The following is an 18,218-nucleotide window of genomic DNA, read 5'->3' on the forward strand; positions in this document are numbered from 1 at the left end:
TCCAGTTAACAAGACTACACACTGAAGAAATAAACTGTAGCTTTACCACAAGACGAAGTGTGGTGCTTGACTGTGTCCTCAAGCAGAACGCTTGTAAAATGTGAAACTTAACCAATGCATATACATTGCTGAAAGTTTTGCTATCCCTTTAATATCTGCCTAAGTTTTGTCTTTCTGATTTTTTAAAGATAATTTTCAAAGATATTACAAGTCCTTTCTAAAAGATTTGGTCTGATATCAGCTACTTAGCCATTATTGGAAGGAAAACTACTTAAGTCAAGTTTTAAACATGTTTGTAAATGATGAGTTGAAATTGTGCATGTAATAGTTTTTAGTATTGCTTTTACTTGCATCCTAACTAGAATTATCATATAACCCCTGTGATGGTTAATACTGAGTGTCAACTTGGTTAGATTGAAGGATGCAAAGTATTGATCCTGGGTTTGTCTGTGAGGGTGTTGCCAAAGGAAATTAACATTTGAGTCAGTGGGGTGGGAAGGGCAGACCAACACTTAATCTGGGTGGGCAACATCTAATCAGCTGCCAGCTCATCCAGGATATAAAGCAGGCAGAAAAACTTGAAAAGGTAGACTGGCTTAGTCTCCCAGCCTACATTTCTTTCCCATGCTGGATGCTTCCTGCCCTCGAACATTGCACTCCAAGTTCTTCAGCTTTAGGACTCAGACTGGCTTCCTCTCTCTTCAGCTTGCAGACTGCCTATTGTGGGACCTTGTGATCATGTGAGTTAATACTCCTTATTAAGCTCCTCTTTTTATATACAACTATCCTATTAGTTCTGTCCCTCTAGAGAACCCTGACTAATACAATCCCTTCCTCCTACCTTAGACCTTTAAAAATAAATTTAAAATAGAAAATTAAGTCAGGATACTATTTAAATTGGGCAACACAACAAAGTTTATGGGAAAAGACTGTATTTTGACCGCATGTGTTTACTGAAACTAAGCTCTCAGTTTTGGATAGTTTCTTGAATCTCTCGACAAGGTGTGCATTTTAACATTTTCATCAGTGTCTCAGTGTCTTTGTTTCTTTTCACAAATAACTTATTATTGTCTTTGTTCTATTAGTTGCCTAGGACTGCTATCACAAAGTACTACAAATTGAGTGGCTTAAAACAACAGAAATACATTCTCTGTTAGTTCCAGAGTCTAGATATCTGAAACCAATGAGTTAGCAGTGCCACGCTGACTCTGAGATTCTGGGTTAAATTGTTTTTAGCCTCTTCCTAGCTTCTGATGGTGGCCATTAATCCTTGGCATTCATTCGCTTGCAGCTGCGTCATTCCAATATCTGCCTCTTCCATCATGTGGTCTTCTCCTTGTGTGTCTCTGTCTTCATATGGCATTGTCTTCTTTTAAAGAAACCAGTCATATTGGATTAGGGCTCACCTTACTCTAGTATTACCTTATGCTAATTAATTACATTTGTAATGACCCTATTCCTAAATAAATTTGCATTCATGTGTACTGAGAATTAGGACTTCACATCTTTTTTGTGGAGAGCACATTTGAATGTGTAACATTGTCTTTGCACAAAAAAAATGTTATATGTAGCACTCACAAACCCCTTTATCCCCTTGTGAGACATTCTCAACTCACATATAACTAAACAGATAGAAGTGAAAAGGTCAAAATAACTTCTGTCCGAACAGAGACCTCATTTTAGCCTCTCAAACTGAACCTCCCATTAAAAAGCTTCTGGCCTAGTCTAAACATACAAATTAAAGGTATTGCAGCACTCTTCCCAATACCCAAGGTATGGAATCACTTTAAGTGGTCATCAATGGTTGAATGCATAAAGAAAATGTATATACACAATATAATATTATTCAGTCATAAAAAGAATGAAATCCTGCCATTTGCAGCAACATGGGTAGAAGTGGAGAAAATTATGTGAAATTCAATAAGCCAGACACAGAAAGACAAATATCAAGTGTTCTCACTCATATGTGGGAGCTGAAAAAAATGATCTCATAAAGGTAGCAAATACAATAGTGCTTACCAGAGGCTAGGAAGTGTATTAAGAAGGGGATAAAGAGCAGTTGGTTAATGGATACAAAAACACAATTAGACAGAGGGGATAAGACTGAGTGTTTGGTAGCATAATAGGGAGACTATAGTTTACAAAATTTATTACGTATTTTAAAATAGCTAGAAGAGAAGATACGGAATTTTTCCAACACAAAGGCATGATAAATATTTGACGTGATGAATATCCCAATTACCTGGATTTGATAATTATACATCATATGCTAGTATCAAAATATCACATGTACCCTATACATCTGTTCAATCATTAGGTGTGAATAAAAAATTAAAAGAATAAATAAAACAGGCATAGAGAGACTATGTGACTTATCTAGAAACAGAGAAATCATTAACAGCACTGGGATCATAATTTAGGAATTTTGAATTTAGCAAAGTTTAAATCGAAATCCACAGGAAGTGATGAACTTAAGGTCTAATCTGTATTGTTTTGATATCTGAGATCCAGGGAAATGGGATGCAATGTCAGTCATAATTTTGGCTGTGGCTGTCCACTAAAAACACTTTATTTGAGCTGGGGGAAAAAAGCAGCATTATAAATCTGAATCACTTTCCTAATTCATGCATAAGCCCAGTCATACTCCATGTACTTATAGTAAAGCTAAACTAAATTTTAAAGTTTACAGCAGGATTCCATAAGCAAAAACATTTCGAGTAAAAAGTCAAGAAATTAAGTCAGAATGCCTTGTACTTAAATTGAGAAACACAACCTAGGTTATAGAACAAGTCTATACCAAAACAAATCAAGCCCATATCTGTTTTTTTTCCATTGTTAGTGAACCTGAAGAAAATGCTGGAATATATTTATTCCATTCGAGAACAACCAGAAGAGATAAGAACTGTTAGGTGAAATAAATCTCTCTAGATTTATAAGGTAAAACTTGATCACTGGTTTTTGATGGCTAACATTCACCTACTCTTTTCTTTATAGATAGTTTCTTGAATCTCTAATCAAAGAGAGCTCTTAATCTTTGCTTTCCTCAATATTTAACAACTTTTGAAAATTAAACTATGCACTTTACATTAGGTGATAATCCCCAAGATAAGGTCCTGTCACTTTAAGAAGCAGATATTTCAGTTCCCAAACCAGACAAAGATATTTAAAAGATGCACAGAGCAACGCAAAAATTGTCAGAAGATATTTTCCAACTGACTACATTTCTGAAGCCTTATTATTCCTTGTTTAATTGCCTGGTGCATGGCTTTTTCTCAGTGCATCATATTTTGGCTTTACCCTTCCAGTTTTACATACCGCCCTCTAGTCTTGACTAATGGCTTGACTTGCCTCTTGGGAGTAACTTCTCTCTTGACTCAAACACAGTCTTTGTCACATAAACTACTTTTCTAATCGTTGACCACAACTTGCCACTGCAGTAACTGTCCTTTCTGAAGGCTTTCTGAGGGGTACCTTTTGCTCAACCAGCCAGCTGCTCTGTTACCCTTTGCTTCCCTCCTCTGGCAATATCTAGTCATTGCAGTCGCCTTCTCAAGTTTTATTTGAGTTCTTACACATTAGAGTTCGTTTCTGACAAAGTTTATCCATTCCTTCAAGAAATATTTATTATCAGTCAATTACTAGACAGACAGATTGTGAGGACAAAGAGTTATACAAATTAATTTTCTTTCTTGGTCATTGCTGATCTTTGAGTGGTAAAAAAAAATCCAATAATGACTTGTTTATCATTAGCATTGCCTTCCTGGACCCTCATTATCTGTATTTCCTTAATTGCCTGGGGTAGTTATTTAGGACGTATTTTGGATAATATTATATTATAATTATTACTTTTTAATAAATTATCTTATTTATTTATTCTTTCACCTCTCACTCAATATTAATTTATAAAAATCTTATGCATTAGGGCCAAAACATTGGTGATACAATATGAACACAAGAGATCTCTAGCATAAAATTTAGCATGAAGTCTGGCAGAAACCCAGCTATTAAGATCAGTAATTAAAATAAATTTATCTTGGAAAAAATTCAGAGTAAATTAGAAATATAAAAGAAGGAACATTTGAAGTATATAAAAAGTATTTATTTTCAAATATATACTTTCCGTATAATGAGAACATTATGCCAAAACTTCCACTAGTGTTTGCACATGCTAACATAATCATCTTTTTTTATGCTTTTATGTTTATGCTTTCTTTTTTGTGGGGGATCTACACATTGCCCAATTCATAGAATTATAGTATATACTTTTGAAAGTAATAAAATTACATGCAATTATTTTATGTTATATATTTTCTATTAATATATATTTTAATATTATACTGAGTTGAAAATACTGGTAATTTTTTTCAAAAATATTAAATAAGTAACAGGATCATAGGCTCTGTTCTAGATACTGTCAGAGCCACACAGAACATTCAAAACAGCAATGTAGAGATACTCCTTCACTTTTTACAGGAAAGGAAAACCATTTCAGTCAAGTTTAAGGGATTTCCTTAAGACTAAATTTCTAAAAAGTGGAAGAAATGACCTTTCAGTTGAGTTTCTGCTCTATTTCCTCTTCTTTTTCACTATACTAGGAAATGAAGATGATGACAGTATTTATTTATATGTAGCAGAATTATTCCTACATGGATTCTTGAAATTACTCTTACAATTATGCAATATTTTAAAAATGAAACACCTCCCTTCTTTCATATTTCCACTTTAATTTCATAAGGGTTAAATGTTCAGCCTACCCTTAATCTGTGGTGAATTCTGTGATGCACCACCCAAATCCACCTTCAATGGAGGATTTAGGTCTATTGCTGCAAACATCTTCAGCTTCCTTCCACGAAGTGTCTCTGAAGAGAAATTGCTGTGGGTTGAAGAGAGTCACCTCTTCAAAGCCATGCTCCTTCTCAGGGCAACCTGCATCCAACAACTAATCAATTCTTGACCATTTCAACTCATATTGAAACAATACTGAAGAAAAAGTCTAGTTCCATAACTCCCTGGGTGTCTGACAGTTCTGCCATTGAAGCTGCTTGCCGTATGACCTCTCCGTCTGTCCAAGCTGCTTCCTTTCTCTCTTTTCCATGGATATTAATTCCAAGGAAGGGTTTCCTTAATTAATAACCAGCATGCTAAGCTCCATCTCAAATGAGCTGGCTTTCAGTGGTAGCAAACCTACCACTGTTAGTTAGTAGCAGATGAGGGCCAAGAAAGTAGAAACTAAGACAAAAAATTAAAGCAGAAGCATTCATCCCCCAGCTAGCAATTAGGACCTAATCCCCGGTGGTGGTCCTATTTATTTTTTTATTTTTTTACCAGTAGTGAATTGGGATGCTTTATCTACGGAAAAGATTATATTAGCTTATGTGTTATATTAGGTGTTTGATAATTCTGGGGAACATAGTAACTACAAAAATATGAAATTCAGTTGCTATCACTAACTCAATTGATATTCTAGAGCATTGTAACTAGAAGTTGAGAGAGGAAGAATAATTAAAAATTTGAAAGATAAGTGCAAACAACAGAAGGTCTCCTTTGCGACATACAGAAACGTGTCACCTCTTTGTGGGAGGGCAGAGGAAACATGAAAACCAGATTAATGACTTAATTGGCAGAGTATCAAAGCTGGTTGGTGATGCCAAAGCCAGAACCAGATTTGGGGAAGAATTTAATTGTGACACATAGTTGGGATGTCTGAGTTGGTGTGCCATAAAACCTTGAATCCTCAGATTTCCCTAAACTTCCCTAGACTAGACTACAAAAGTAGCCAAATTTTCCTTACATACTAATCTTCTCTCATTTGTTTTATGTAGAGACTTTGCTTCTCCATGACCACGTATTTCAACACTCAATATGTCCTAGCTCCCTCTCTGCTACTGTGTCCACAACCAAGCTTAAATCATAAACTAAATAAGCTGAGGATGTTCTGAATCTGATATGAGAAGAAAGTAAGTATACCCAAAGTTACCGCAATTCATAGCCTGTAGGTATAGGCAAGAGCTGGGGGTGAACATGTGGAGTTGAATTCTGAAGGTGCTAGCTAATAGGAACATAAACTTGGATGAGGAAGTCTATAGTGATTGTGAGCACTCTCTTAGAATACTGGATTTAACATCCTGGCAATTACCCCAGGAGATGGTATAAACATGCTAGTAGAATGCCTCCTAAGATGATGGCAATGGCTCCACGAGTGAGGTGTATGTGCCAAAATTGCCAGCTCTACAATAGAATAAGTGATTAAATGGCTCAAAGAAGTGAGCATGCTAATATTTATATATTTATATATTTGGCTGGAAGTCTCACCAGATATTTATGCCTTATAAAAATATTCGGAGCATACATTATTTAACAAGGACATAAGAAATGTTCAGATGAGTGCATCACTCACATTACCAGAAAGGTCAGTGGTGACTCTCCATATTGCCATGGGATTGATTGTTGAAGAGATCATTGCAGAAGTATGTTCTCTTTTAGCAGGACAGGTGATAGTGCGCCACAAAATAGAGTGCAGGTGGCAGTGCTAAATCGGAAGCAAAATGGATGCAAAATACTGTTAACATAAAAGGAAGGAGACTGATTAAGACAGCTGTGAAAATGGTTTAAAGAACATAGCATCCTAGGAGCACATTAAGTGGGCAGGAAAATAGGGCAATACTTAATTTACACTATCAAAAGAAATCACAGGTATATGATTAGGAGGCTGAAGAATGCTGCAATATCATAATAAGTGTGCATGATTTGCTCAGTTCTTCTCTAAAGGACATATAGGTATTTATTTGGTTAATTGTGTAGTGAAGAAATGGAAATGCCCAAATACTTCAAGAGCAGTTGGATACAGGGTCCAAGTTCACATTGATATCAGAGGACCAAAGCATTATTATACATCATCTGCTGTAATTGGGAAATGTTCAGTCAAATGATAAATGGAGTCCTGGCCAAGCAGATCACAGGAGGACCAATAGAGCAATGGACCTATCGGTCATGGATTATTAATGGTTATTTTTCTGGTCTCTAAATAAATAATAGGTAGAGATGTACTTGGTAGCTGGCAAGACCATGATATTATAATCTTGTTTAGTGGGGTAAGATATAATAGAAAAAAATAAGTGAAAGCCCCTAAGATTAAATTTCCTCCAGGGTCCAAAAGCTAGGGTGAGGTGTTTCTCAGAGTCTCACAGATACAGTGCATGAGATTCATCTGCCTTGGACAGCTGTTCTGAGCTTTGAGGGACTGGCTCACCATGAATCTTAGACTTTATTATTGCTTGGTGCCAGTCTGTGAGAAATAAAGTTGCTTCTACGAACTTGTAGTATAAGTGTTCTGTCTCACTGGACTTGTGCAAGTAATAGAAATAGCAACTCAAGATGCCATGGACCCAAATGGTAATCAGTGCACAGTGAACCTCTTTGCATATAACAGATGACATGAAATGCTACCTGTTTTGAGTGCAGCCAAGAACACAAAAGGGCTCTGAGTCATATTAAGACAGTGGTTACAGAAATTTTGTCCCTTAGGCCTCATGACTCAGCAGACCATTTAGTATTAGAGGTATCAGTGGTTGAAAGGGATACTGTCTTAGCGAGTTTGGGCTGCAATAAGAAAAATATCATAGGCTAGATGACATAAACAACAAACATAATTTCTCACAGTTCTTGAGGCTGGGAAGTCCAAGAAATGTTGCCAGTATATCTGATATCTCAAGCATGCCTACTTCCTGGATTGCAGACAGCCATGTTCTTACTGCATGACAGAGAGCATAGAAAGGGAGAAGCAAACTCACTTTTGTATTCTTTTGAAGATACTAATCCCATAATCAGGCTTCACTTTCACGACCTAATTAATTTCCAATGGCTTCATCTCCAAATACGCTTGCATTGAGAATTAGGGTTTTAACATTTGATTTTTTAATTTTAATTTTTAATTTCCAGGGTACATGTGCAGGATGTACATTTGATTTTGACACAACATTCAGTCCATAGCAGATAATTTTTATAAATTCTGATAATGGTAGAATTATAACATAGATGCTTAGCATTCCAGAATAAGGTTATGCCATCAGCAGGAAATTCTATACCTCAAAACTAATTTCTGGCGTTTTTTTGGGCCATGGTAGACATGGAGCACCTAATTATCACCACTAACTGACCATATGGCTACAACTGCCCATCATGAACTGAGTTATGTCAGATCCATCAGTCATAAAGAGAGGTGACTAAAACAACAATCCATCATTAAAAAGAAGTGATGCATTCTGGATCAAGCACATGCAGAATCAGGGACCACAAACAAGTTATACAGGCAGACTCCCAAGTTGACCACCATTATTTCATTTGCCCCCCCTCTCCCTCAGCTTACACTTACTTTATAACAATATGCAGGAACCTATGTGGCCAGCTGATGGAGGATAAAAAGTCCACACTTTGCCTATAGGTGGGTAGAATATCTGTGTGTGCATATAAGTTAAAAAGTGAATGGAAATTCTCTACATATTTACTCAGTAGTAACCTTGAGAGGCACTGGCAACAGAAAATTTCCTTTGTGTGCAGAGCACCTAGTCATCCACTTTGTGTAAAAAGAGACATAGCTCAAGGTTATAATTTATACTTACTTGTAGATATTGGAAAATGGCTTAGTTCCTTGGTTAGGAGACAAGAAGTTAAAAAAGAAGGAAGAGCAGATAATTCACAGGAAACTCCTGTTTAGTGAATTAATGTATGAGAGTGGGAGCAATGAGAAGATTTTTATATCACATTATTGAAGTCCACCAGTGAGCCTCTATCATGGAAAACGTATTCAACAAACCAAGTAGATAAAGTGACTCAACCAGTTGACATCGGCCAGATTCTCATTGACTATCCCACTGCCTAGCCAAAGTAGAGGCTCAGAATGGATCCTGAAACATTGGTTCTGACTTATCAAAGTTCATGTAACTCCTTCTGCTATCAAAAGGCCAACCTGCCAGCAACAAAACCATTGTTCTGTCCTTGTTATGGGATTGTTATTTGATCACATTAAATTGCTACTTAGGGAAATTTAGAATGTGGACATCCAACATGGTTCTGGAAACCAAACAGTTGAAGCAGGAGTGGGCCTCATTACCTTTATTCTCAAAAAGCCACACAGGAAATAGAATTCTAGGCTTGACATGTTTAGAGGTCTTAGTTTCCTAAAGGGGAATACTTCCACCAGGTCCAGAGGACCCGGGAAAAATTCCTTTGAATTATATGGTAAGAGTGACACTTTTCACTATGGGATACTTGTGTCAAATGATCACCAGGGAAGAAAAGTTAAGATAATTGACATCTTGGAAGAGATAAATTGCCATGATCATCAGTAGGTGTTAGGGCTGCTGTCATGCATGGGTTCAAGAAAGAATATTTATTAAGCAGAGGTGATTCATTTGGGTACCTATGGTCATACTCCTGCTGTATTTTGACACTAAATGGACAGGTGCAGCCATTCTGGCCTGAGTAAGGTATGGTGACCATGGGCTCAGATGCTAGGAGTTAAAATCTAGGTCACACTACATGGTAAGCCATTGAGACCAATGAAGCTAACAGTTGAGGAGAAGGAAGAATTTAAATGGATAATAGAGAAGAGAAGTGATGACTGTTAGTTGTAGCCAGCTACAGAAGAAGTTCCTGGATTTTAATCCATTAATTTTCTTCTCATAAGATTCCTCCAAGCAGAGAATCCACTAGAAATACAGAGAAGATTCAGAGTGTACATGAAGTGGATTTAAGAGCTGCAAATGATGGCATCTGTGATGTGCCTCCATTTAACCTTTAGCTGTCATTCCCAGGAATTGCCTCAGCTGCAGAGGTGCCTTGCCCAAAATCATACTCATTCCCTGGGACAACTCACTTCCATTAACCGATATATGTATGAGTCTAAACACCAGGCCATCTCAAGCTAATCTTAAGGTCAACTCTGAAAGGGCGTTACTTCATGGCTAATAATGAGTTTTTCCAAGGCTGTGGATCATAATGGATTTGTCCATGTTATGGGCCTGCATGACAACTCAACACTTCCTTGGCCCAAACCTACTTCCTACTGCCTCCAGCTCCACTCAATAGTGATTGATCTCAAGGGAAGTCCTAAATATTTATTCTGCAAACTAAACTCCGTCTCAGAATCTGCATCCCAGAAAACATAACCTGCTACATGAACACTCTTTGACTAAATTTCAGTTTCACTTCTTTCTTCTTCATGTTTTGGATATTTCCATATTTAGTCAGACCAAGCTGAGATAAAACAATTTTACTTGTTGATGTTTTCAAGTACCTAATTAACTTTTTCTCAATGTCTGACATGTTTAGTCATGACCACTGTATACATTCTCTAGGTTTCATTATTTTCAGCAATTAAAGTCCTATGGTTCTAGTTAATTTTTTAAGAACTTCTGTAACATGATTTTTTTCACATATAAATATGTGTATGTGTTTATGTTGGGATGTAAAAAACAGAGCCAGAATAAGAAATTATAAAATGATTTTACTTAGGATAAATGAATTTATTTAGGTAAAAAATTATATTTAGGATAAGAATTTCATATATACTATTATCTACATGATTTCTAAATTTTTGTCTTTGATTCCATGGTTTAATGATTATGATGATACAACTCTAATTGACAGTGACACATTTCAAATTGACTCATAGATACCTATTGACATAGAAATGACTCCCTAAGACAGTACTTTTCTAAAAAGTCAGATTTTTATATAATTCTTATTAATTCAAATGATTTATATTCATTAATGCACACTATTCTAATAGCAATTTCGTGAAGTTTCAGAAATACACCAAGTCTGTAATGATAATTATACTTTTGCTAATATCTGTTAAATTTTTTTCTCCTTCCATGTAAGTGTCTGGTGTGTGCATGTCTGTGTGTGTGTGTCTGGTGTATGTGTGTGTCTGGTGTGTGTGTGTATATCACAGGGGTAAGGTTTCAGATTTTATATGAATATAGATAAGTAAAATAAATTAAACTTTTGTACTTATTTTGAATTTTTTATAAATAGAGAAAAATTGAAAGAATTATAAAATAATTGCCTTACACCCAATGACTAAATCTACTTGTTAAAATATTTTATTAACATTTTGCTACTGTTGGCATAGTAAGTCCTCAGTTTGCATAGGAAGTCCTCGTTTTGCACAGTCACATGGTGACTAGAATTATATTGCAATTATCACTAAATCTTGAAAATCATGGACTTTGGCCGGGCGCGGTGGCTCACACCTGCAATCCCAGCACTTTGGGAGGCTGAGGTGGGTGGATCACGAGGTCAGGAGATCAAGACCATCCTGGCTAACATGGTGAAACCCCGTCTCTACTAAAAATACAAAAAATTAGTCAGGTGTGGTGGCGGGTGCCTGTAGTCCCAGCTACTCGGGAGGCTGAGGCAGGAGAATGGTGTGAACCAGGGAGGCGGAACTTGCAGTGAGCCAAGATCGCACCACTGAACTCCAGCCTGGGTGACAGAGCGAGACTCCATCTGAAAGAAAGAAAGAAAAAGAAAGAAAGAGAAAGAAAGAAAGAAAGAAAGAGAGAGAGAGAGACAGAGAGAGAGAAAGAAAGAAAGAGAGAGAGAGAGAGAGAGAAAGAAAGAAAGAAAGAAGAAAGAAAGAAAGAAAGAAAGAAAGAAAGAAAGAAAGAAAGAAAGAAAGAAAGAAAGAAAGAAAGAGAGAAAGAAAATCATGGACTTTGGATAAGTATGTGTTTCAATGAACATGGTTCTGTGCAAAATAAACATTGCTTTTGTGTGTGAATTTATATGCACCAACAGATATTAAATTGCAGACATCATGACTTTTAACTCCTAAATGCTTAATTTCACACCTTTTAAGAAGTACTATATCTGTAAAATACCTACAATATAATCATAGCTTCTAAAATATTATTCCTAAAATATAACAAAAATTTTATCCAATATTGAGTTTATATTTTGAGTTATATATAAACTCAAATTTATTATATTATATTTATTATATATAATATATATATTATATTTATTATATATAATATATATATTATATATATTATATTTATTATATATATTATGTATATAATATATCTAATATATATTATAAATATATAATATATATATTATATATATAAACTCAAAGTTATTATATTGAGTTATAATTTCCCCATTAATTGTTCTTCTTCTTAGCTAGGATCCAATTAAATGTCACAAATTGTATTTTACTGTAATTCTACTATTGACTCTTTAAATATACATTTTATTTATTTAATGATTTTACATAACCTTTTTTTGAAGAATCCAGGCCAATAATCATCAATTATCTGACCCCTGAGTTGTTTCTCTCAAATGATTTTTGCCCTTTAAAATAGTTTTAGTGTTAGAAATACATACACATGCAAACTTTTCCCACTTCTATTATCATTACAAAAGAAACATTGCATTCAAGTCAGTTCATTCATTGAAGCCATTCATAGTTCTCCCTCCCACTTGCTTTGACACATATGGCACATTTCCTGACATCAACATTCTGTTTCTGTGCGCTACATATAAAACCCCTATACTGAATAGAAATTGAAATGGATTTTTCTGCTGCTCCCCTAGCAAATAGGAAGACAAGCATTACTGAGCTTTTTTGTTCCAAAGGGTAGAGATCATCATAGGCATTTTTTTCTTCCATTATAAATGTTGCTCTCGTTCCTTTTATTATGTTGTCTGAAAGAAGAAGAAAGAAAATAGGACAGTATTAGCAACTCTGTCAGTCACAAAAATAGTATACTAAGGCCTGGTATATTATATTTAAGAAGTTTTTTCTTTTTTAATATCTCTAATGTGTTTTATTTCTTGATACTTCTGATGCAGCTTCCCACACAAACTGGGATATGTAGGACAGGTGGGTGAAATGGTAATTTTTGTAACCTCCCTCATCGGTACACCTTGGTGCACATGTTACTGGTCACATATGTGATTTCTAGCGTATATTTAGTGACTATATATGCCACATAAAAATATATGGAATAAAGGATATGTGGAGGTTTTTTCCTCACATGAATAAGTGTCATGTAACCAGAGATGGGCAATTAATATGCAGATAACTTTGTGCATATATTTGTTACCGTCAACATACACTTGTTTTTTTCTCTATTTTCTTGTTTTTATTGAGACAAAATATTTTACATGTTTATGGGGTACATGTGAGTATTTGCTACATGCATAGAATGCATAATGATCAATTCAGGGAATTTAGGGTATTCACAGCCTTGAGTATTCCTCCTTTCTATGTGTTCCTAACATTTCAAATCCTATCATCTAGCTACTTGGAAATATACAGCATATTGTTGCTAACTATAGTCACCCTACTCTGCTGTCGAATATTGGAGCTTCTTTCTTTCTTTTTTTTTTTTTTTTGTATTTTTAGTAGAAACAGGGTTTCACCGTGTTAGCCAGGATGGTCTTAATCTCCTAACTTCGTGATCCGCCTGCCTCAGCCTCCCAAAGTGCTGAGATTATAGGCATGAGCACCGCGCCTAGCCTGGAGCTTATTTCTTCAACCTAACATACTAGTGGGTATCTTTGCACCCACTAGTCAACCTCTCCTCATTCCTTGCTCCCACCTACACACCCTTCTCAGCCTCTGATATAATGAAATTTTCTATCTCCATAAAATAAGTTTTTAAAGCTCCCACATATGAGTGAAAATACGTGATATCTGTTTTATCTGTCTCCTGTTCCATCAATGTTGTTGCAAATGACAAGCCTATGTTCTTTTTCGTGGCCAAATAGTGTTCAATTGTGTGTATATATTGCATGTCTTGTTTATCCATTCATCAATTGATGGACACAAGTTGTTTTCATATCTTTGCTAATGTAAGTAGTGCTGGAATGAACATGAGAGTGCAGGTATCTCTTTGATATACAGATTTATTTGCCTTTGGATATAAATACTCTGTAGTGGTATTGCTAGATCATATGGTTGTTCTATTTTTTTTTTTTTTTAGAAATACCATACTGTTTTCTATAGTGGTTGAACTAATTTTTATTGCCACCAACCATGTGTAAGAGCTCCCTTTTCTCCATATCCTCACCAGCATCTGTTATATTTTGTCTCTTTAATAATAGCAATTCTAACTGGGTAAGAAGATAACTCGTTGTGATTTTGATTTCGTTTCCCTGATGATTAGTGATGTTGTTTTTTTTTTTTTTTTCATATACCTGCAGGCCATTTGTATGTCTTCCTTTGAGAAATGTCTATTAATGTCCATAGTCCAATTTTAATGAGTTTTTTTTATTGTCAATTTGTTTGAGTTCCATGTGTATTCTGGATGTTAGTCTGTTGTCAGATGAATAGTTTGCAAATAATTTCTTCCCTTCATCAGGTTGTCTCTTCATTCTGTTGATTGTATCTTTTGCTGTGCAGAAGCTTTTTAGTTTAATATAGTCCTATTTGCCCATTTTTATTATACTTGTCTGTGCTACTGAAGTCTTAGCTATGAAATCTTTGTTAGACAGATGTCTTGAAGTGTTTTTCCTATGCTTTATTCTAGTAGTTTTATAGGTTCGGGACTTACATTTACGTTTTTAATTAATCTTAAGTTAGTTTTTATATATGGAGAGAGACAGGGGTCCAGTTTCATTCTTTCACATGTGAATATCCAGTTTTCTCAGCACCATTTAGTGAAGAGGTGTCCCTCCCCCAGCATAGGTTTTTGGCACATTTATCAAAAATCAGTTGCCTATAAATATGTGGATATAGTTCAGGACTCAGTATTCCGTTCCACTGTTCTATGTGTCTGTTTTTTATACCAGTATCATGTTGTTTTGGTTACTATAGTCTTGTAATATATTTTGAAGTAGGTAGTATAATGCCTCCATCGTGGTTCTCTTTGTAGAGGATGCTGTTGGCTATTCAGGCTCTTCTTCAGTTCCATAAGAGTTTTAGAATTTCTTTTTCGAATTCTGTGAAAAATGACATTGGTATTTTGGTAAGTATTGCATTCAATCTATAGATTACTTTGGGCAGTATGATCATTTTAGCAATAACAATTTTTTCAATCCATTAGCTTGGGTTGCCTTTTCTAGGTTGGTGTCCTCTTCAATTTCTTTCATCAGTGTTTTGTCGTTTTCCCCATAGAGGGATTTTCCCTCCTTGGTTAAATTTGTTTCTACGTTTTAAATTTTTATCACTATCGTAAATGGTATTACTTTCTTGATTTCTTTCTCAGGTATTTCTTTATTGGTGTATAGAACACTACCGATTTTTGTGTGTTGATTTTGTATCCTGAAACTTTACTGTACTCATTTATCAAATCCAGAAGTTTATTGGTGGAGTCCTTAGGTTTCTCTAGTTAAAAGAACATATCGTTTGCAAAGAGGAAAAATTCGACTTCCTCTTTTTCAATTTGGATATCTTTTATTTCTTTCACTTGCCTGATTATACCGGCTAGGATTTCTAGTGCTATACTGAATAGATGCGGTGAAAACAGACATCCTTGCCTTGTTCCAGATCTTAAAGAAAAAGTTGTAATCTTTTCCCAATTCAGTATGATGTTAGCTGTGGGTTGGTCAGATATGGCCTTTATTATTTTGAGGTATGTTCCTTGTATTCCTGGTTTGCTGAAATTTTTTATTACAAAGTGATGTTGAATTTCATCAAATGCATTTTATGCACCTATTGGGGTAATTATATGGTTTCTGTCCTTCATTCTGTTGATGTAACGTATTATGCTTATTGATTTGCATATATTGGGCCATCCTGCATCCCTACTATAAATCCCACTTTATTCTAGGGTATTGTCTTTTTGATGTGCTGTTGAATGTGGCTTGCTATACTTTGTTGAGGATTTTTGCATTTATGGTCATCATGGATATTGGAGTGTAGTTTTCTTTTCTTTTTTTTTTTTTTTTTGTTATGTTCTTGTCTGATTTTGGTATCAGGGTAATGCTGGCATCATAGAAAGAGTTAGGGAGAATTCTTCCATCTTAAGGCAATGTTTTCAAGTTGTTTAAGAAGGTTTTGGCCGGGCGCGGTGGCTCACGCCTGTAATCCCAGCACTTTGGGAGGCTGAGACGGGCGGATCACGAGGTCAGGAGATCGAGACCATCCTGGCTAACACGGTGAAACCCCGTCTCTACTAAAAATACAAAAATTAGCCGGGCATGGTGGCGCGCGCCTGTAGTCCCAGCCACACGGGAGGCTGAGGCAGGAGAATGGCGTGAACCCGGGAGGCGGAGCTTGCAGTGAGTCGAGATCGCGCCACTGCGCTCCAGCCTGGGCGACAGAGTGAAACTCCGTCTCAAAAAAAAAAAAAAAAAAAAAAGAAGGTTTTATATTCTTTATACATTTGGTAGATCTTGTCTGTGAATCCATCAGGTCCTGGGCTGTTCTTTTTTGAGAGGCTTTTTAATACTGATTGATTCTCACTGTTCAGATTTTCTACTTCTTCTTTATTCTATTTTAATAGGTTGTATGCTTCCAGAAATTTATCCACTTTCTTTAGGGTTTCCAGCTTATTAGTGTGTAGTTGTTCATAATAGTCTCAGATAACCTCTTGTATTTCTGTCATATCATTTGTAGTGTCTTCTTTTTCATTTCCGACTTTGCTTATTTGGGTTTTCTCTCTTTTCTTTGTTAGCCTTCTAGGGGTTTATCAATTGTGTTTATCTTATTGAAAAACCAACTTTTCATTTCATTAATCCTTTATTTTTTTTAGTCTCCATTTTGAAAAAAACAACTTTTCACTTCATTAATCCTTTATATATTTTAAGTCTCTACTTTGTTTATTTCTACAGTGATCTTTATTATTTTTTATAATTTCGGGTTTGGTTTGTTACTGTTTTCTTAGTTCCTTGAGTTGCACTGTTAGGTTTTATATTTGAAATCTGTCTACCATTTTGATGTAGGCATTTGTTTATTGCTATAAACTTTCCTTTTAGCACTGCTTTTGACATATCCTACAGGTTCTGGTATGTGGTGTTTTGATTTTCATTTGTTTCAAGAAACATTTTGATAACCATCTTAATTTGTTGATTGACCCAGTGATTGTTTATGAACATGCTGTTTAATTTCCATGTATTTGTATCATTCCTACAGTTCCTCCTGGAACTGATTTCAGGTTTTATTCCATGGTGGTCTTAGAAGATACTTAATATGATTTTGATTTGTTTAAACTTGTTGATACTTGTTTTGTGGCCTAATATATGTTCTCTCTTAGAGAATGTTCCATGTGCTGATGAGAAGGAAATATATTCTCTAGTTGTTGGATACAATACTCTGTAAATGGGTGTTAGGTACATTTGTTCTAATGTCCCATTCGAATCCAATGTTTCTTTCTTGATTTTCTTTTTAATACTGAGAGTGGGGTGTTGAAGTCCCTGACTGTTATTGTATAGAAGCCTCTGTCTCTCTCTCTCTTCAGATCTTGTAATATATGCTTTATAAATCTGTGTGCTACAGTGTATTTAGAAAATATATTTAAAATTGATCTAATGTCCTATTTGAATCCAATGTTTCTTTCTTGATTTTCTCTTTAATGTTGTTGAAGTCCCCCAATATTATTGTGAAATAATTGAAGTTTACCTCTCATTTGGATCTAGTAATGTATACTTTATGAATCTGTGTGCTTCAGTGTTCACTGCATATATATTTAGAATTGTTATTTCCTTTTGCTGGATTGATCTCTTCATCATTATATAGTGATCTTCTTTGTCTTTTTTTTTTTTTTTTTTTTTTTTTTTACTGTTTTTGACTTAAAGTTTGTTCTAAGTATAGGTACTCCTGTTCACTTTTGGTTTCCATATATGTGGAGTAACTTTATCCATTCCTTTACTTTGAGTATACATGTGTCTTTACAAGTAAATTGAATATCTTGTAGACAGCACATAGTTCAATCTCATTTCTATATCTTCTAGGTGGATAATTTAACCATTTATATTCAATGTTATTATTGATATGTGAAGTTTTGTTCCTGTCATATTGTTAATTGTTTTTTGGTTATTTTAATGCTATAGTGGTGCCATTTGAGTCCTTTCTCTTCCTCATTTGCGTGTTTGGTTTACCAGTGAGTTTTCTACTTTCATGTGTTTTCAGGATGGTAAATGTTATGCTTTTACTTCTAGGTTTAGGACCCCCTTGAACATTTCTTGCAGGACTGACCTAGCCATAATTAATTTTCCCAGCATTTGCTCATCTGGGAAATACTTCCTCTTTCATTTGTGGATAA

The 18,218-nt window shown here is 35.2% G+C and overlaps 1 long non-coding RNA gene across 1 annotated transcript in view; it reads left to right on the plus strand.

Annotated features, from left to right (window-relative positions):
- LINC01256 (long intergenic non-protein coding RNA 1256) overlaps positions 1–18,218 on the plus strand; it is an 87,415-nt gene that overhangs the window by 47,797 nt on the left and 21,400 nt on the right. Inside the window, exon 2 of the long non-coding RNA NR_126401.1 lies at positions 5,823–5,957. This is a non-coding gene — a long non-coding RNA (long intergenic non-protein coding RNA 1256). The remainder of the gene's footprint in view (positions 1–5,822; positions 5,958–18,218) is intronic.

Source organism: Homo sapiens, chromosome 4, assembly GCF_000001405.40.
Source record: "Homo sapiens chromosome 4, GRCh38.p14 Primary Assembly".
In the NCBI taxonomy this organism is placed as follows: domain Eukaryota; kingdom Metazoa; phylum Chordata; class Mammalia; order Primates; family Hominidae; genus Homo; species Homo sapiens.